The sequence below is a fragment of the Homo sapiens genome, chromosome 20 (genome assembly GCF_000001405.40).
Source record: "Homo sapiens chromosome 20, GRCh38.p14 Primary Assembly".
Classification (NCBI taxonomy): Eukaryota; Metazoa; Chordata; class Mammalia; order Primates; family Hominidae; genus Homo; species Homo sapiens.
The window spans coordinates 42789371-42805497 of NC_000020.11; the positions used below are offsets into that span (position 1 = coordinate 42789371).

At 43.8% G+C, this 16127-nt stretch overlaps 1 protein-coding gene across 11 annotated transcripts in view; it reads right to left on the bottom strand.

Moving 5' to 3' along the window:
* The window catches only part of PTPRT (protein tyrosine phosphatase receptor type T), a 1158017-nt gene that overhangs the window by 757481 nt on the left and 384409 nt on the right, over nucleotides 1–16127 (bottom strand). For all 11 annotated transcript variants that reach the window (XM_047439848.1, NM_001394024.1, NM_007050.6 and 8 more), the window contains exon 3: nucleotides 1825–2096. In XM_047439848.1, the coding sequence (XP_047295804.1) occupies nucleotides 1825–2096 (272 nt within the window). The remainder of the gene's footprint in view (nucleotides 1–1824; nucleotides 2097–16127) is intronic.

Sequence of the window (16127 nt, forward strand, 5' to 3'; positions counted from 1 at the left end):
ATTTATACTGGATTATACTAGCTTAGACAGTGAAATCAAACAAAACGGGTAAAAAACAAGGCACTACCTCCGTTCAAGCTTGGGTTATCACTTACCATTTCTGAGCCTTCGTTTCATCACCTATAAAATGGGTACGTAGTACCTGCCTCAAAGGATTGTTGTGAAGATTAAACAAGGTAATGTATGTGAAACATTTTGTACTGTGCCTGGAACATGATAAACACCCAATGAACGGTAGGTATCACCATCACCACCATTACCATCATCATCACTACCTCTCCCCTATTTCTGAAAGGAGTTTCAGGAAATGCATCATGAAGAAAAATAACATTATTCTAAAAGGAAATCACAAGCCATTGAGGATAAAATTGAAATATGTATGGCAAAAATCCAGTCTAAATATTGAGGGTAATTGAGTATTAAATTCTGATTTCTCGTTACCAAGGCAAAAGGGAAATAAAGCTTGAATTGCCTCATTAAGGTAAACCCAACAAGCAATCTCAATAGATACATGTATTCCTAACACTAAAATCTGGAAGAACTGTACCATGGATATTAACTTGGAGAATGTCTAAGAAGCCCCCAGCCACCGGTTCATCTTCTGCTTCAGATGCTAGAGAAATTTCTCCAAAATGCAGATCTGACTGCCTCACCCTCTAACCTAAAACCTTTCAACAGTGCAAGTGGAGATTAACTGCAAATGAGCACAGTGTATCTTACTAGGATGATGAACATGTTCTGGACTGCTTTATAATGATGGTTGCACAATTCAATAGGTTTTCTTAAGTCATGGGATTGCACACTTAAAATAGGTGGATTCTGTGATATGTACATTTTACCTTAATAACATTGTTAAAAAAAAAAAAAACAAAACTTTCAATGGCCCCAGGCCAAGACAATGTGGAGAAATGTTCCTCTAAGCATGCTTTATGGATTGGTGCCAATCTGTGCGCTGTGTGCATCAGTTCGCAAGGAGATAAGGAAGGAAAGAGAGAGAGGTTTAGGAACTGTTGCAACAATCTGTCATTGCCATGATTTTTTTTTTTTACCATGGTTTATAAGAGTATTGCTCCACAATGAGTTGAGAGGAAGTGTCCCTTCACCATGGACAGTATGAGCAGCACTGCTTTAAACTAAGTTCCATCCATTAGCCTGACATTCAAAGCCCCCCATGATCTGCTTGTCCCTGCAGGCTGATCTCCCTGTCTGTCCTCTTTGCAATGTACCTTAAACAACTTAGACTTTCCAAACTCTGCCATAGTCTATCATCCACCCCTGCAGCTCACTGTACACACTGTCTGTGACAACTCAAATGCCTTTCCCTCCCTCCCTTTTAAAATAAATTTGTATTCATTCTTCAAGATTCATCTTAGATGTCATCTCCTCTTACAAACCATCCTAATTGCCTTCCCCAGCAAACACCCCATTCCCCAGAGGGTGATCTTTTACGAGTTATTTCATCTCTCCGAACCTCAATCTTTTCATCCATAAAATAGGCTAGTACTAGTACCTCCCTCATCATGTCATAAGCACTGACTTTATAAAAAGGAATCAATGCCTATGTTCCTCTAGCATCTTCAGGAGCCACATGCATCCTGGTACATTGTTATTTTATCTACATATCAGTCTTTTCCTACAAATGATGAATTCAAGTGGGACAGCGGCTGTGTTAGGTCACCTCTGCAGAGCTTGGCTAGGAGGAGAAGCACAGTAAACACGAGTGAATAAATGAAGTCCTTTCTAGACCTAGCACCTGTAGGGAGAGCAAAGGTGTATAGATTTATTACAAATTTTCAAAAATAAAACCATGGTAAAATGCCATACCTGATAGAAATGTGGCCAGAAAGTGCTGATGGCGAGCTCTGCCTTCACCCAGCCCTCAGTGACGACCCCGGACACATTCCACACAGGGTTCCCTTGGGGGCCACCATTCACCTTCACGTAGACGTTCAAGGCCCCTGGGCTGGACCTGTCACGGCTGGAGAAGTAGTAATGGAAGTCGATGCAGTGGGTGTCATTCTCCTTCAGGGTTGGCAGGAGAAGGTGGGCCTTCTGGCCAGAGGCTCTCCCAGAGCTGTTCACCATCATGAAAGATCCTGGAGACCCACAAAGCAGGTGGGAAGTAGAGACAAAGAGAAAGTAAGAAAATCCTTCTGAAAATCAGTCACACCCATAAACATGGTGGCCAGAGGAGTGGCCAGAGATCAAGTCACTCTAGAAGGGTCTGGGTGACCCTGCAAAAGCCACATCTCTCTGAGCCTGAGTATCCTCTTCTGTAATTGGGTATAAAAAATCTATTCAATAAGGTGGTTTTAAGAATTAAGAGATGGTAACATGTATGAAGTATTTCTACAACGTGCTACTATTGCTATTTGCAGAAAACATAGCTACTATTACTGTTTGCAGAAAACATCTCCAAGCATTCAAAAAGTTTCCTTGTAGGACGAAGTGAGCCTCTTTTGAGTTGCTTTGACAAATTAAATGGTTGTTTCCAATTCTTTATCCCTCCCTGGATCCATGTCCCTTGCCACTGGCTTTGCAGTTCCTTCCAGCAGAAACAGAGGGTATGTCCCCATCCCTTGACTTTGGGCTCCACCATATGACTTGTTTTGGTCAATAGGATGCTAACAGAATGATTCAAGCAAAGGTTAAAATGTGCTTGCCTTGCTGGGCTTGCCGTCTTGCACTACTGCTACCTTTCATGAAAAGGATGTGCCCCCAGTAGCTGCTGCCCCTTTCAGCTTGGGATCAAGAATACACACATGGAGGACACCTGACTTGAACTGATCTTAAAGAACCAAGCCATGCCACCCCTGCAGCTGGAATCACAGCCACATGGCCCAAAAGCCCAACCTAGATCAGCCAATCTACAATCAATGCACAGTTCCATGAGAGCTAGAATAAACGCTTATTGTTGTTTGCCAGTGAGTTTCTTTTCAGTGTGTCATGCAGCTTTATTGTGACAATAGCTTATTGATAAAGCTGCCTGGGAGGGCAGACTCATGAAAGAAACCATGAGGGGGTAAATTTCAGTTCAGTGTACAAATAACTTTCTAACAAGTAAAGTTGGTGCAAAATAGAATGGACTGGCCAGAGACAAAGTGAGTCCCCACCAAAGCAGGTGGCAAAACAGAGCCTAGACAAATTAAAGAGATGATTAAGGAAATTTCACAAGCAACTGGGAGGGCTGAACTTAGAGTCTTATGATTCTATGAAATAAACTGCATCATGGAACACTGCAGATAAACTCAGTTGATTCTAGAAGGACAGTTTCCACCTAGAAAACCACTAAAATCTTCAATTCAAAAATAAACCTTAAGACCACTTATCCTCAGCCAAGTTGAGCTACTTCAATAGCTAAAAGTCACCTCATTCTTTCACCCTAATACCAAAAAGACTAACAGCTCCCAGTTAATAAGTGCTGGGAAACCCATAACTTCTTGGGATTCTAGAAGGTACCAATCAAACCCTGTCTCCTTCAGGTTCTGAGTGAATTTAAAAACAGACATGAGAGAGATAGAAAGGGAGAGACAGAGAGAGAGGAGTTCAAAACCTCCACGTTATTATTCACAAAGTAACTTGGACTTACGGCCAAATTAGACTTTCTGCATGTTTCCCCTGAACCACCATGCAGAGCAGGCGGATGGCCATGGACCCACCCTCCAACTGTGCCCAGATCCCTAGGGCCACAGTTGTCTTACTGGGATGACCACTTAGGATAGTTGGGTGGGTTTGTACCAAAAGGTAGCCAGGTGAAAAGCACAGAGAAACCTGAACCAGTGGCTATCAGGTTTTCGCCATCCTACCAATGAGAAAAACTTGTGTGTAAATATAAGGGATACAAGTGCAGCTGTGTTTCATGGATATGTTGCATAGTGGCAGAGTCCGGGCTTTTAGTTTGACTAGCAACCAAATGATGTATATTGTATCCATTAAGTAATTTCTCATCTCTCACCCCCATCCCACCCTCCAACTCTTCCAAGCCTCCAGTGAATATCATTTCACACTCTGCGTCCATGTGTACGCATTATTTAGCTACCACTTATAAGTGAGAACATGCCGTATTGATTTTCTGTTTTGGAGTTACTTCACTTAAGATTATTGTCTCTAGTTCCATCCATATTGCCGCAAAAGTCATGATTTCGGAAAATGTAGCACCTCCTGGGGAAGGAGCCACTGGAAGTGGAACAAAGGTGCGGGTGTCTTTGCCTGGTGTTTCTGAGTAAGGCGTCCCAGTTTTATGGCCGTGCAGTAACACAAGGTAAGTGGAGCAATGTCTCTATGTCAGAGAAGTTATTGAATTATCATAAACTCGCAAGGGGGCAGCTAAAAAGGAGCAATTATAGGGGCAGAAATTGAGGCTTAGAGATGAGACCGAGCCTGCATCCATGCCCATATCTGTCCACTGGCCTACATGCCACAGGGTTCCAAAAGGTTTCCTTGGACAGGTAAGTAGCAACTCACAAGCCCCACAAAGGGTTTGTGACTGCCTCTGCCACTGAGGAGTAGCACATCTCCCAGCAGAGGCAGCAGCCTGAGAAGCAAAGTGTCTCTCTCCTCTCTGAATCCCATGATACCCGCATGCACATTTCAGCTCCTGTCCTCCTGCCAATTCACGCCACGGGCTCATGTACCCTTGGCTCCTTACAATCCACTGTAGAGAGAGTTGGGAAGGTTTTCCTTCCACCAGTTCATGATCCCACTTCTTTCCATCCTAGCTTCGGTAGCAGGGCAGGCTCGCTGAGGAGGTAGAGATTGCCCTGTTCCATGTAGCTTCATGCACAACCCTGTAACATTGTTCTGGGCACACAGCTAGACTATGTCTTCCAGCCTCCCTTTAGCATTTGGTAGGGACATGCAACTGAGTTCTAGATAATGGGGCATGAGTATGATGTGTGCCACTTTCCAGGCCTGGTTGGTAAAAGCTGCCTCCCTCTCACCCCCACACCTCCATACTAAATGATCTTGCCTCTCAAAGACTGGTCCTTGGACCAGCCACCCCAGCATCACCTGGGAGCTTGTGAGAAACAAGAATCTCACATCCACCCCCAGGCCTATTGAGTTTGGATCTGCAGTTTATCAGGATCCCCAGGTGATCGGCATGTACATAAAGCAGTGAGAATCATTGGCCCATTCTATTTTCCCATCTACCAGCTGAATGTCCCAGAGCTCAAGAGCCTAGGAGAGGGCAGTGCACCATAAAAGAAGCCAGGTTCCCTGAATGAGCACAACCACACAGAAGGCTACTCACCTATTAGGAGCACTCATCTTGGATTTTAAGTAAAAAGGGAATAAACTATTATTCAGCTACAAGTCCCTTTATTTAAGGCAATAAGATGTGAAACAGTAGCTACTAAGCAAAGTTGCAAGACAGGCTACCTAAGGATATCATTAAGAGCAGCAAGCCTTGGTGGTAACTTGGGAGGCATTTGAAATAGAATAGCCTAGGCAAAGGCACAGAAGCATCCAGCAATGCTAGTGTAAGGTCTTGGGGGTGGGGGGTGGGATCCAGCGGCCATCTCTAGCCCCTTCCACATGTAGCCCACCTTATATAGGTCTGACCACACCCTCCAGAAAGGAAGGGAGCCTATCTGCGAGTTGAGCTCAAGCGCGCCACTAGAGATTGCTCAGGAGTGAAAACCCTTGTATATCATCAGCTCTGTGGGGCCCGCTTTGATCAACAGGTTGGCATAATTAATATCATCCCAGGGCTGTCAGTTTCCTGGAGATCAAAAATGAGCCGGTCATTACGCCAAGATCAGTCAGAAACAAGAAAGAGAAAGACTGTAAATACATTCTTTTCCCTTCTCCCTTAAAAAAAAAAAATCTACTAACGTGATAAGGAACATAAAACAGCATTAGTTTCCTCATAGTTATTATACATAGCACTGAAAATTGTGGAATTAAACCAGGAAGTACTCTCTGGCTGGCCATAAATTTTGCATTTTTCCCCTTCGTGCATAATAATGCCTTGATAAGCGCCTCGTTATTGATGTGTCTGCAACACAGATCTCCTTTTTGGAGGCAAAATGCTTCTCCATAGCAGATGGTGGCTATTGTGTTTACACATGAGCACCTCAGGATTGCATTTCCTCACGTCGGCAGTAAAAAGAAAGTCCTAATTGAGTTTTTAATGGCTTTGCACATTGTTCATTAAGATTACATGAGTGTGCTCGGGCGACTGGCAGCTGAGGGCCTTGGGCACCAAGAGCTCAGCATGGTCCCTGCAGACAGGTGGCCCCGCCAGCTCCCAGTGCCAGCACCTACTTGAAGGGAATGGATGCTGGTGGGGCCTCAAATGCTGCCAAAAGCCAAGCAGCTGTGGTGACATGAAACAAGTTCTGGATCTTCAGTTAAGTAAGCTGGGTTTCACTCCAGCTTCTGGCATTTCTTAGTTGTGTGACTTTGAGCAAGTCAGTAAAATTCCCTGGGCCTCAATGCCCTCATCTATAAAATGGGATAATGAAACCTACAGATCAAAGTTGTTTGTTTTCAGTGAATATTAAGTAAAAACGGTACTTAATAAATGCTAATTTTATAACAGATAGCCAACAGCAGGTAACAGTGAGCCCAATGCCGTTTATAAAACCTTATGTTTATTGAGAACTTATTATGTGCCAGGCATTGATCTAAGCATTGTTTAGCACCCTAATGAGGTGGTGCCATGCAATCTCTGTTTTAAAGCAAGGAATACGAAGGAACAGAGAGGTAAAGTCATTTTCTTAAAGCCACATAGCCAGAAAGTGATAAATACTCAAACCAATTATTCCTTCTTAGAAAGCAGAGACTACAGGGTCTAGGAATGCACTTTCCTAACCAGTAGCTAATAACGCCATATGCCTATTTAAAATAATTAAAATTAAGTAGAAAAAAATCATTTACTTAGAGATACTAGCCACATTTCAAGTGCCCAGTAGACATACATGACTGGTGGATACCATATTGAACAGTGCTGGTGTAGAATACATCCATTGTCACAGAAATTTCTGTTGGATAGCACTGGTCTTGAAGTTGTGGATTACTTACCAAAGCATAACAAATTACATCCAAGTGAGTCACAGGAACTTAACTAACCCAACCTACTCATTTTATAAACTCCAGTAGGGAACAAGTAACTTGGCCAAGGTCAACCAACACAATGAAGATTTAGACTCAGATTTTCCGACTCCGATTTCAGTTTCTACCGCAGACAACTCTGCCGTTCCTTGCCCGAGCTGTACAGCCACAGAAGTGGTTTCCCAGATAGCTATTTAAGAGGGAAAAGAGCATATGTTGCCTTCAGGAAGCAGAAGCATAGAAGTCCTAGGCATTCTACATGTCACATGACTTAGGAGAAGTATGTGCACACACGTTGGGCATTCCCAGCCTCAGCTTTGACAGGCAGTTCAACAACTGTTTGTTGAGGCCCAAGCCCTGGTGAGCAAGGACAATGTAGGATGCTTCTAACAAGGGGTCCCTGGGATAAACTGGAACCCAAGATACATCTCTTCTCTCTGATGATCTTAAACAAGTCACTTAACTCTTTGACTCTCAAGTACCATCTTCTATAAAATGGTTATAAAACACATCTCATATTGTGGCCTCATGTAATCCATGAGGATTAATACAACTACTATTTATAAAGTGCGTAGATAAGTATCGCTGCATGTAGGTCCTCAAAAACAGCTTCTTTTCTATCTTTCCCATACCCCTAAAGTTTTGTTTCAGTGTAGCAGGGAGACCTTAATAGACTGAAGAAGAAAATAGTAAGAAATCCACTGAGAGGCAGAGTAAAATCTGCTGCCCCGTCTCCACCTCCCACAATTGATAAGGCATCAAGGTCCAGGGATGCCTCCTCCTTTTGTTTCTCTGACCATCTTCTTCCTTTCCACTCCCTTGGCACTGGCCTAATTCAGGTCCATGGCATTTGTGTCAGAAACTGTTTATTTTGCAACGACTTCCTAAGCAGTCTAGTCCTTGATTCTCTCACCATCCAATAAAACAGTACTCAGCACCATCTTTCTGAGATACAAAGCCAACCGTGACATGTTCTCGACTTCCATTGAGGTCTTCCTTTATAGGAAATTCCCCACTTCCTATAAAGCCCAAGGTCTTTCATGAGAATATGTGGAGCCTTACACATCCTGACCCCCACCCCTCCTGCCTCTTATATGAAGACTATCTCTCCCACCCTCCCCCGCAAACACAGTCCTCGGCCACTTTGTGGTAGACAGAATAAGGGCCTCCCAAAGATGTCCATATCCTAATATTTGAAACCTGTAATATGTTACCTTTCATGGCAAGAGAATTAAGGTTCAGATGGAATTAAGGTTATTAACCAGATAAGCTTGAGATGGGGAGATTATTCTGGATTTTCCAGCTGAGCACAATGTAATCACAAGGGTCCTTTAGGTAGACAAGGGGGCCAGGAGAGTCAGAATCACAGTTGAGGAGCTATCTGAGGAGGCTATGCTGCTTACTTTGAGATGAAAGAAGGAGCCATGAACCAAAAACTGCAGGTGGCCAGAAAAAAACTAGAAAAGGTGAGAAAACAAACTCTACCCTAGAGCCTCCAGAAAAGAATGCAGCCCTGATACCTTGAATGTACCCCAGTGTGACCCACTTAGGACTTCTGATGTCCAGATTAGAATGTGTGGGGTTTCGGCCACTAAATTTGTGGTAATTTGTTACAGCAGCAATAGGAAACTAATACACACTTCAAACATCCTACGCATGTCCCTGCTGCTAGGCTTTTGCCCAGGTGATACCCTTCCTGAAATCCACGCCACCCAGCTCAGCCATGGTCCTTCATTAAACTACTTAAATATCACTTTCCCTACATGGCTTTCACTAATGTCCAGGAAACAGGCACTTCTGAATTGTTGTTCCTATACTTCAGAGTGCATACTTCCATTATAGGTATTTTAAACAGGATCTAATTTAAAAGTCCATAATGATGAAATTTAGCTATCTAGTCATAATAAAAGTGAAAGTGGCACAAAGACATCAAAAGGCACAATGCACTTTCAAGTAAGAAAATGTAGGTGCAAGAGAAGCAGATAGTGCTACCAGTATTACCATGAAAACTAGTAATCATCAAGCCAATTGCAAACATAACAATAGACCAATAGCCATACCAATAAACATATCATTCAACATTATTCTTATTATCTATGAAAGCAATCTAATTATCAAGTGTCAAAAAAAAGAAATCTGCTGCTTTTCTAATATACCAGAAAATGGGGAGGTGGTGTTAATTGGAACTTAATGGATATATAATACCTATTTAAAACAAAAAAAAGATACATCCTGAAACTTCAAAGGAATTGAATATTGTGAACATTTTGTCACTTTGCGTGAACAAGTAATAAGCATTTCTGTAACCATTCATTCAGACCGGTAAGTTGGGGTTTCAGCATTTCATATGCAAATTTGTTAAGGCAATTTTTGAAGAAACAACTATCTAATAATCCATGTAGCTGTGGATAATGTCGTTTAAATATGGTATTAACCCCCAGTGATTGGATTTGAAGGCGCACTGGTGGAGAGGCTCTGCTAACCGGTGCTGGATACCCTAATGCAAGCAGAGTCAGGCAGGGAGTTTGTGTGCACGTGGGTCTTTTCCTCAAAGACCAAATCCCTAGCCGCCTGCATTCTTTTACACTTTCTGAGAAAAAAAGGAAGGCAGAGAGGAAGAGGGAGAGACACAAGACAAAGAAGGAATGGAGAAGGGGAAGAAGAAAGAAAAGAAGGAGAAAACAAAAGAGTAATGAAAACTAAGATGAAGAAAGGAGGGAAAAGGGGAAGAGGATGGATGGAAGGGAAGAAGGGAGGAAGGGGAACAAGGGAAAGAGGCAGAAGGAGAAGCAGGAGACATGAACTGCAGGCGAGGGAAGGGGTACTGAGCAGGGGGAGAGAAGAGGCAAAAGATTATGGAGACAAAGCAGAATAACATGTAAACTACACGCAACCCCTACATAAGCTTGCATCCCTCCTGACCTCCCAAACAAAAGCAAAAGTGAAAATAAAGACTTTTTACCCAGCATACTTCTTCTGGTCCTTCCAATGATGATGTGATGAAAACAGACCCCGGGACAATGTTGCAGGGCATACTGGGACCTGCGTCTCCCTTTATTACTTCATAACTTGCCTTCCCCAACAATTCAATTCAATCTCCCAGGAGCAAAACTAAATGTTATTGTAGGAAAAACAATGGAACCCAAAACACAACAGAATGACAACTCAGCAACATAAACTGTAAAACATAAGGTCTTGACCGATTTGCTCTTTGATGTTGGAAATAGACAATTCATTTGGCAAAGTCCAGATGAAACTGAAGGTCAGATAATGCTACTCTCCCTTCAGACTCTTCACCTCTTCCTATGCACCCATTTTAACCACACACTGCCCCGTAAGCAAGAATTCTGTCTGTTTCTTCACGTGCAAAACAGGTATATATACAGGTAGAGGTTTTAAAGTTCCTTCCAGCTACAGAAGTCTGTTTCCAAGACTTTACAGCGACTTTACCTGACTAGTTAGTGGTAAGTCAGGAGCCCAGGCTGGCTTGGATTTTCTACCTAGACTCTCTCTGAAGAAGGGGTGGGAAGGAAAGATCTTTCTCCTTGGGTCTTGTTCCCAAAGAAATGCAGTACTTTTTGTGTTCTCATGAGAATTTATTTATCTTCTCAGTCACTCCTCTTCTTAACAATAACAACAGCCAACACATACCATCATGTTTTACTTAAGATTCATTTGTTTAATTCTTATATCAACCCTATGAGGTAGTGACTACTATCATTCTTCTTTTACAGTTGGGAAAACTGAGAAACAGAGAGCTTAAGTGACTTTTTCAAGGCCACACAGCTGGTAGCAGAGCCAGGATTCAAACCTAGGAAGTTATAATTCTCATTTAGCTGCTAGGCTGCACACCACATGTGGGCACGTTGTGTTTGATGGCAAGGAGTGATCATCAACTCCCTGGAGTTAGCTGGCCTTGCGCTGGGGAGCTGGTTCATGCAGGAAGAGGGGTAAAGAATGGAAAGAACGAACAAAAATTAAGTCAGTTGTCAAGCTGCTGCCATATTAAGAGTAAAGAGAACAACAGGGCTGCTGGGAACATTGTCAGACCCCAAATTGTTCTTGACATTCATTGGGCTGAGTCCCTTGCTTCTGCAGCTCTAAATGGAAATGACATGGAACTAAAATATATATATTTTTAAATCTCCAAACTCTTCACACATCCGTTGGCATGATAATATTTTGATTAGTTACATTTATGCTCCAATTACACTCACAGAATGTTCAACTGTGTCTTATATATAGCATGTTTGCCATGCTCCATAGAAAATACTGGATTATTACCTCGTATATTTGCAATGGGAAAAGACACAAATGGAAAGGGGGAGAAAAGACAGCAAAAAGAAGAGATGACTAATCCTGTTAAAATGGTGCCGTCTTGCCTTCACATTACTAAATTGGGTCATCGCTATTATTGCCAAGCTTTAAAATGCCAGGGCTGGGAGAGACATCAAGTATTTAAGTCTACCCTTCCCCTCACCTGAGGCTTTTATCTCCCTTACCACGACTGGGTCTGAAAGCAACCTCCTCACATACCCAGTGAGTGGCAAGGTCGACAGTGGGGAATGTTTGTGTCTTTGTGCTCTTTTTTTCTTCCTGGGGAGAGCATCCATCTATTTCTCAAAGAGCTCCATAACCCTGTCCAAGATAAATATATAAATAAATAATAAACAGAAGCTAAGAGTTACTCTGAGCTTTGCAAAATGCCTGCCCTGGGGATACTAGGAGTGACTTATTACCGTGTGTGCTGCCCAGATGCCATCACATTATTTTGCTCTTCACTAGTAGCCCATGCTGCAAGCACTGAAGGTGCGTGTATCACACCATCTAACGCGGATACCAGGTGGAAGGGGTCCCATGGAGGTCTGCTAAAGATCGCCCCCAGTTCCACAGCACCCGCCCCTCAAATCCTCAACTACTGGAGCTGGCTTTCTCCCCTGGCTTCTCTCTGCCACTGCATCCCTAACTCCACTGGTACCTCTATGCCTCAGTTTCCCCAAGGTGGTTCCATTCATGAAGGCTAACCCCTCCACCAGTCTCCTTATGAAATCCACCAAAGCCAAGCATTTCATCAAGTTAATAAAATTTGTTCTAACCACAAGTATTATTTGTGCACCTACTATGTGTCTGACACTAGGGGAACAGCAGTCAGCATGGAAGAGTTTTTATCCTCTTAGAGATTACAGACTTCTAAAGAGCCATTACAGGAATGTGGAAAGTTCTATGACAAGGCAAGAACCCAGACTTGATTTGGGGGAAGAAGTATAAAAAGAAAACACCTACAACTTTCTGGAGCAAATAAACTGTAGGCTGAGGTCTAAGTTATGTAGGTGTCAGACAGGGGAAAAGGGAACAGAAAGAATGTTCCATGCAGATGAAATAGCCTGTTTCAAAGCCAAGGAACAAGACAGTTTCTGCCTTGTGGGGGGGCTAAAAGAAATTGCAGACAGAATGCAAGTGCCTTAGAGACCACCTCTCTAACCTCTCACCCTTCAGTTTATATATAAGGAACTTGATATTCAGAGAGGTGCCCTGATTTGCCCAGAGTCTCACAGCCAAAGGGTGATAGAGCCAGCATTCAAATTGAGGTGTATCTGACTCCAAGATCAGTATCATTTCCCTCTGAAACAGCGGTTCCCAAATCGCAGTGTGCATCAGAATTACTTGGAAAGCTTGTTAAACTGTGCCGGGTCCCATACCCAGTAGATTTGGGGTGGAGTCCAAGAATCTGCACTTCTAACAAGTTTCTAAGTGATGCTGATGGGACTGATCTGTGGACCACACTTTGATAACCACTGGACTAGCTGGTCTCTAATTCCCCAGCCCTGATAGGGCAGGGGCCCAAAAATTTGGGCGAATCAACAAATGGTGCTACCACAGGGGTGCTAACTTGTTAAACTACCTCCTACCCTGGGCCACGCCCTGCCTACCTCTCTCAGGGGCAGGAGGTCTTGGCCACTGGCCATTAAACATGAAGACTCTCCCTCTGCCCAACTCCAACAGCCTGAGCCATTTTCTTTCCATCACTGCTAATTACCAAGAATATAATTAGACACTTATTGACTCCCCCAAATGTACTAAGGTCTGCAAAGAAAATAGCACAATAATTATTCCTCCTATTTTACCATCCTCTAAGGAGCTACAAGACTTTGACAGCTGTTATCCAATTAATCCTGACAGCTTATTTTTTTAACGTAAAGGTATTTTTTTCTTCTAAGATTGGAAAAGCTATTTCCTTTTTTGAAGTAAGAATGAGGGCAAAGAGAGGCCAGATAACTTGTCCAACATTACAAGGGTCATTTCTTGCCTCCCTTCTCCTGCATGATCAGTGGAACAATGAAAGATAAGGGCATGGACTGTTGACTCAAACTGCCAGATCAAATCCCAGCTCTGTCAGCTCTCAGCTGTGTGGCCTTGGGCAACATACTTAACATCTATAAGCCTCAGTTTCTCCATCTGAAAAATGGAGGTGATGATGGCAAAAGTTGTACATGCTTCCTAGGCTTGTTACGTGAATTAAATGTGTCTGTATGTTACACGCTTAGAATAGTACCTGACATGTTGAGAATTAGCTACCATGATCATCAGTGGCAGAAGCGGCATTTCTGAGCCCTCATGCAGATCTTCGACTACAACAGTGAGATAACTGACCCTGGAATTCAGCAGGGTAAGGCAGGTCCCAGTCTCACTGTCCACAGAGGCAGCGGGCCTAGAAGGCACCAGGAAGCCATGGAACATCTCCATGCTGTTGACAACAAGGAACATCTCTCTTTGCCAGTGGTTCTCCAAGTGTGGCCCTGAGCCAGATACATCAACGTCATGGGGAACCCCTCAAAAAGTAAATCCTTGGGCCCCAAGCTAGACTGACTAGACCAGAAACTCTGAGTGGGGTCAGTCATCTGGGTCCCCCAGGGGATGCTGACACCCACTCAAGTTTGAGAACCACTTTTTTTCCCCAGACAGGTTGCCTGAGCCTCAGCCTATCAGGGTAGACCACAATAACCTGGCGATCATGCCAGTTCCTGTCCACTGGATGTTCCCTGCTTTTCCCAAGAAGGGACAGGACAGGTTACCAGATTCCACAGCACTGTAGCATGGGTCCAGAGCCTGTGCTTTTTTAATTATTTATTATTTATTTATTTTTTGAGAAGGAGTCTCGCTCTGTTGCCCAGGATGGAGTACAGTGGCATGATCTCGGCTCACTGCAACCTTCGCCTCCAGGGTTCAAACAATTCTCCTGCCTAAGCCTCCCAAGTAACTGGAATTACAGGCATGTGCCATCATACCCAGCTAATTTTTGTATTTTTAGTAGAGACAGCATTTCACCATGTTGGCCAGGTTGGTCTAGAACTCCTGACCTCAGGCAATCTGCCCGCCTCAGCCTCCCAAAGTGCTGGGATTACAGGCGTGAACCACCGCGCCTGGCCTAGCCTGTGTTCTTGACCACTGCCCTACATTGTCTCTCTTGAAACTGCCTTCCCACATGCACTTCTGGAAAGGACTCCAATCCCTACCCCAGTGAGGGCCAGCTGGGAGTGCGGTCCTTATTGCTGAGGCACCATAGTTGCCCTGGTGTGCCAGGAGGTAGGAAATGGACACCAGGAGATAATGACGACTCACAGAAATGACACAGAAGGCATCTCCCAGACCCTCTGAGTCCTTGAAGCCACTAGGATATGTCCATCAACTGAGGCCTCTTGAAATCAAGCACCTGAACCCCTAGATTTTCTACGGTTTTCATCCTGAACCCACTCTTCCCCTTTCATCCCTCACTCCTCCACCTGCCCCCATCCTCTCAGCTGCAAAGCTAGTTTCCTATTTCAGTCTTACCTTTCTCCCATTCCCCATCCCTAGCCCTCCTCCCCTGTCCCACTTTTTGTACCAAAATGCACTTTGGACTATCCCCCTTGACCACAATGCAGACCCCAACCATCTCTTGGGTTCCCCTTCCTCTTGCTGCTGTCCACCTCATCCAGTCAAGTGGTCTCTGCACTCTAGACCACCAAAGATACTGTCTCTGTCAGTTCCACCAAGCCCTGCAGTAGAACCTAGACCCAGATGGAAAGAGAACAAGACAAAATCAGGAAGTAGAGGCAGCTCTAGTGCTGACAACTGCCAGGGAAGCAATGAGCTGAATGGGTTCCCTGAAGCCGCCATAACAAAGACCACAAAGTGAGTGGCTGAAACAACAGAAGTTGATCGTCTCACAGTCCTGGAGGCTGAAAGCCTGAGATCAAGGTGTCAGCAGGGTTGGTTCTTTCTGAGGCCAGTGAGGGAGAATCTGTTCCATGCCCTCCCCTAGCTTCTGGTGGTTTGCTGGCGATCTTTGGCATTCCTTGGGTTGTAGATGTACCCCTCCTCCTTATCTCTGCCTTCAGATTCACATGGTTTATCCCTGTGTGCATCTGTCTCCATTTGTTAAGGAAAAAACACCAGTCACATCGAATTCAGAGCACACCCTACTCCAATATGGCTTTATCTTAGCTAATTACATCTAGAATGACTACTTCCAAATAAGGTCACATTTTGAGATACTGGGAGTGAAGACATCAACATATGAATTTGGTGGGAACAGAATTTAACTCCTAATAAGCTTTCTAGAGCCCTACTGTGTTCATCACCCAAAGAGTTATCTAAGGCAGTCCTAGGAGGGTTTCTGTAGAGATGACGGAATATCATATTTAGAGGGAGCATGGGAAAATATTCTTTTTAACTATAAAACAATACATGGGGAAACAAACAGAAAAGTAGAAAGGAGGAGTGACAAGTCCTCACGGAAAGACAGCCACACATGTCTTGAGGTATTTCCTTACAGTCTCATTTGCTGGCATAGGTTAGTGCTTTCCAAGGAGTTATGGCATTTACTTGGGTTTGTGACTGTGGTTAGTAAATTTTTCCTGAAGAAGAGGCTTAATGGGGGATAACAGTTTATAGTGGCCTTGTCTGCATTGAAGCTATATCCAAATTCCAATGGGAAAGGAGCAAGCACCCCTTCAACAGGGCTGCCTGTTCACTGATGTTGCAGGTTAGTTTCACAACAAATGTATATTGAGTGCCTGCTCCACACCAGG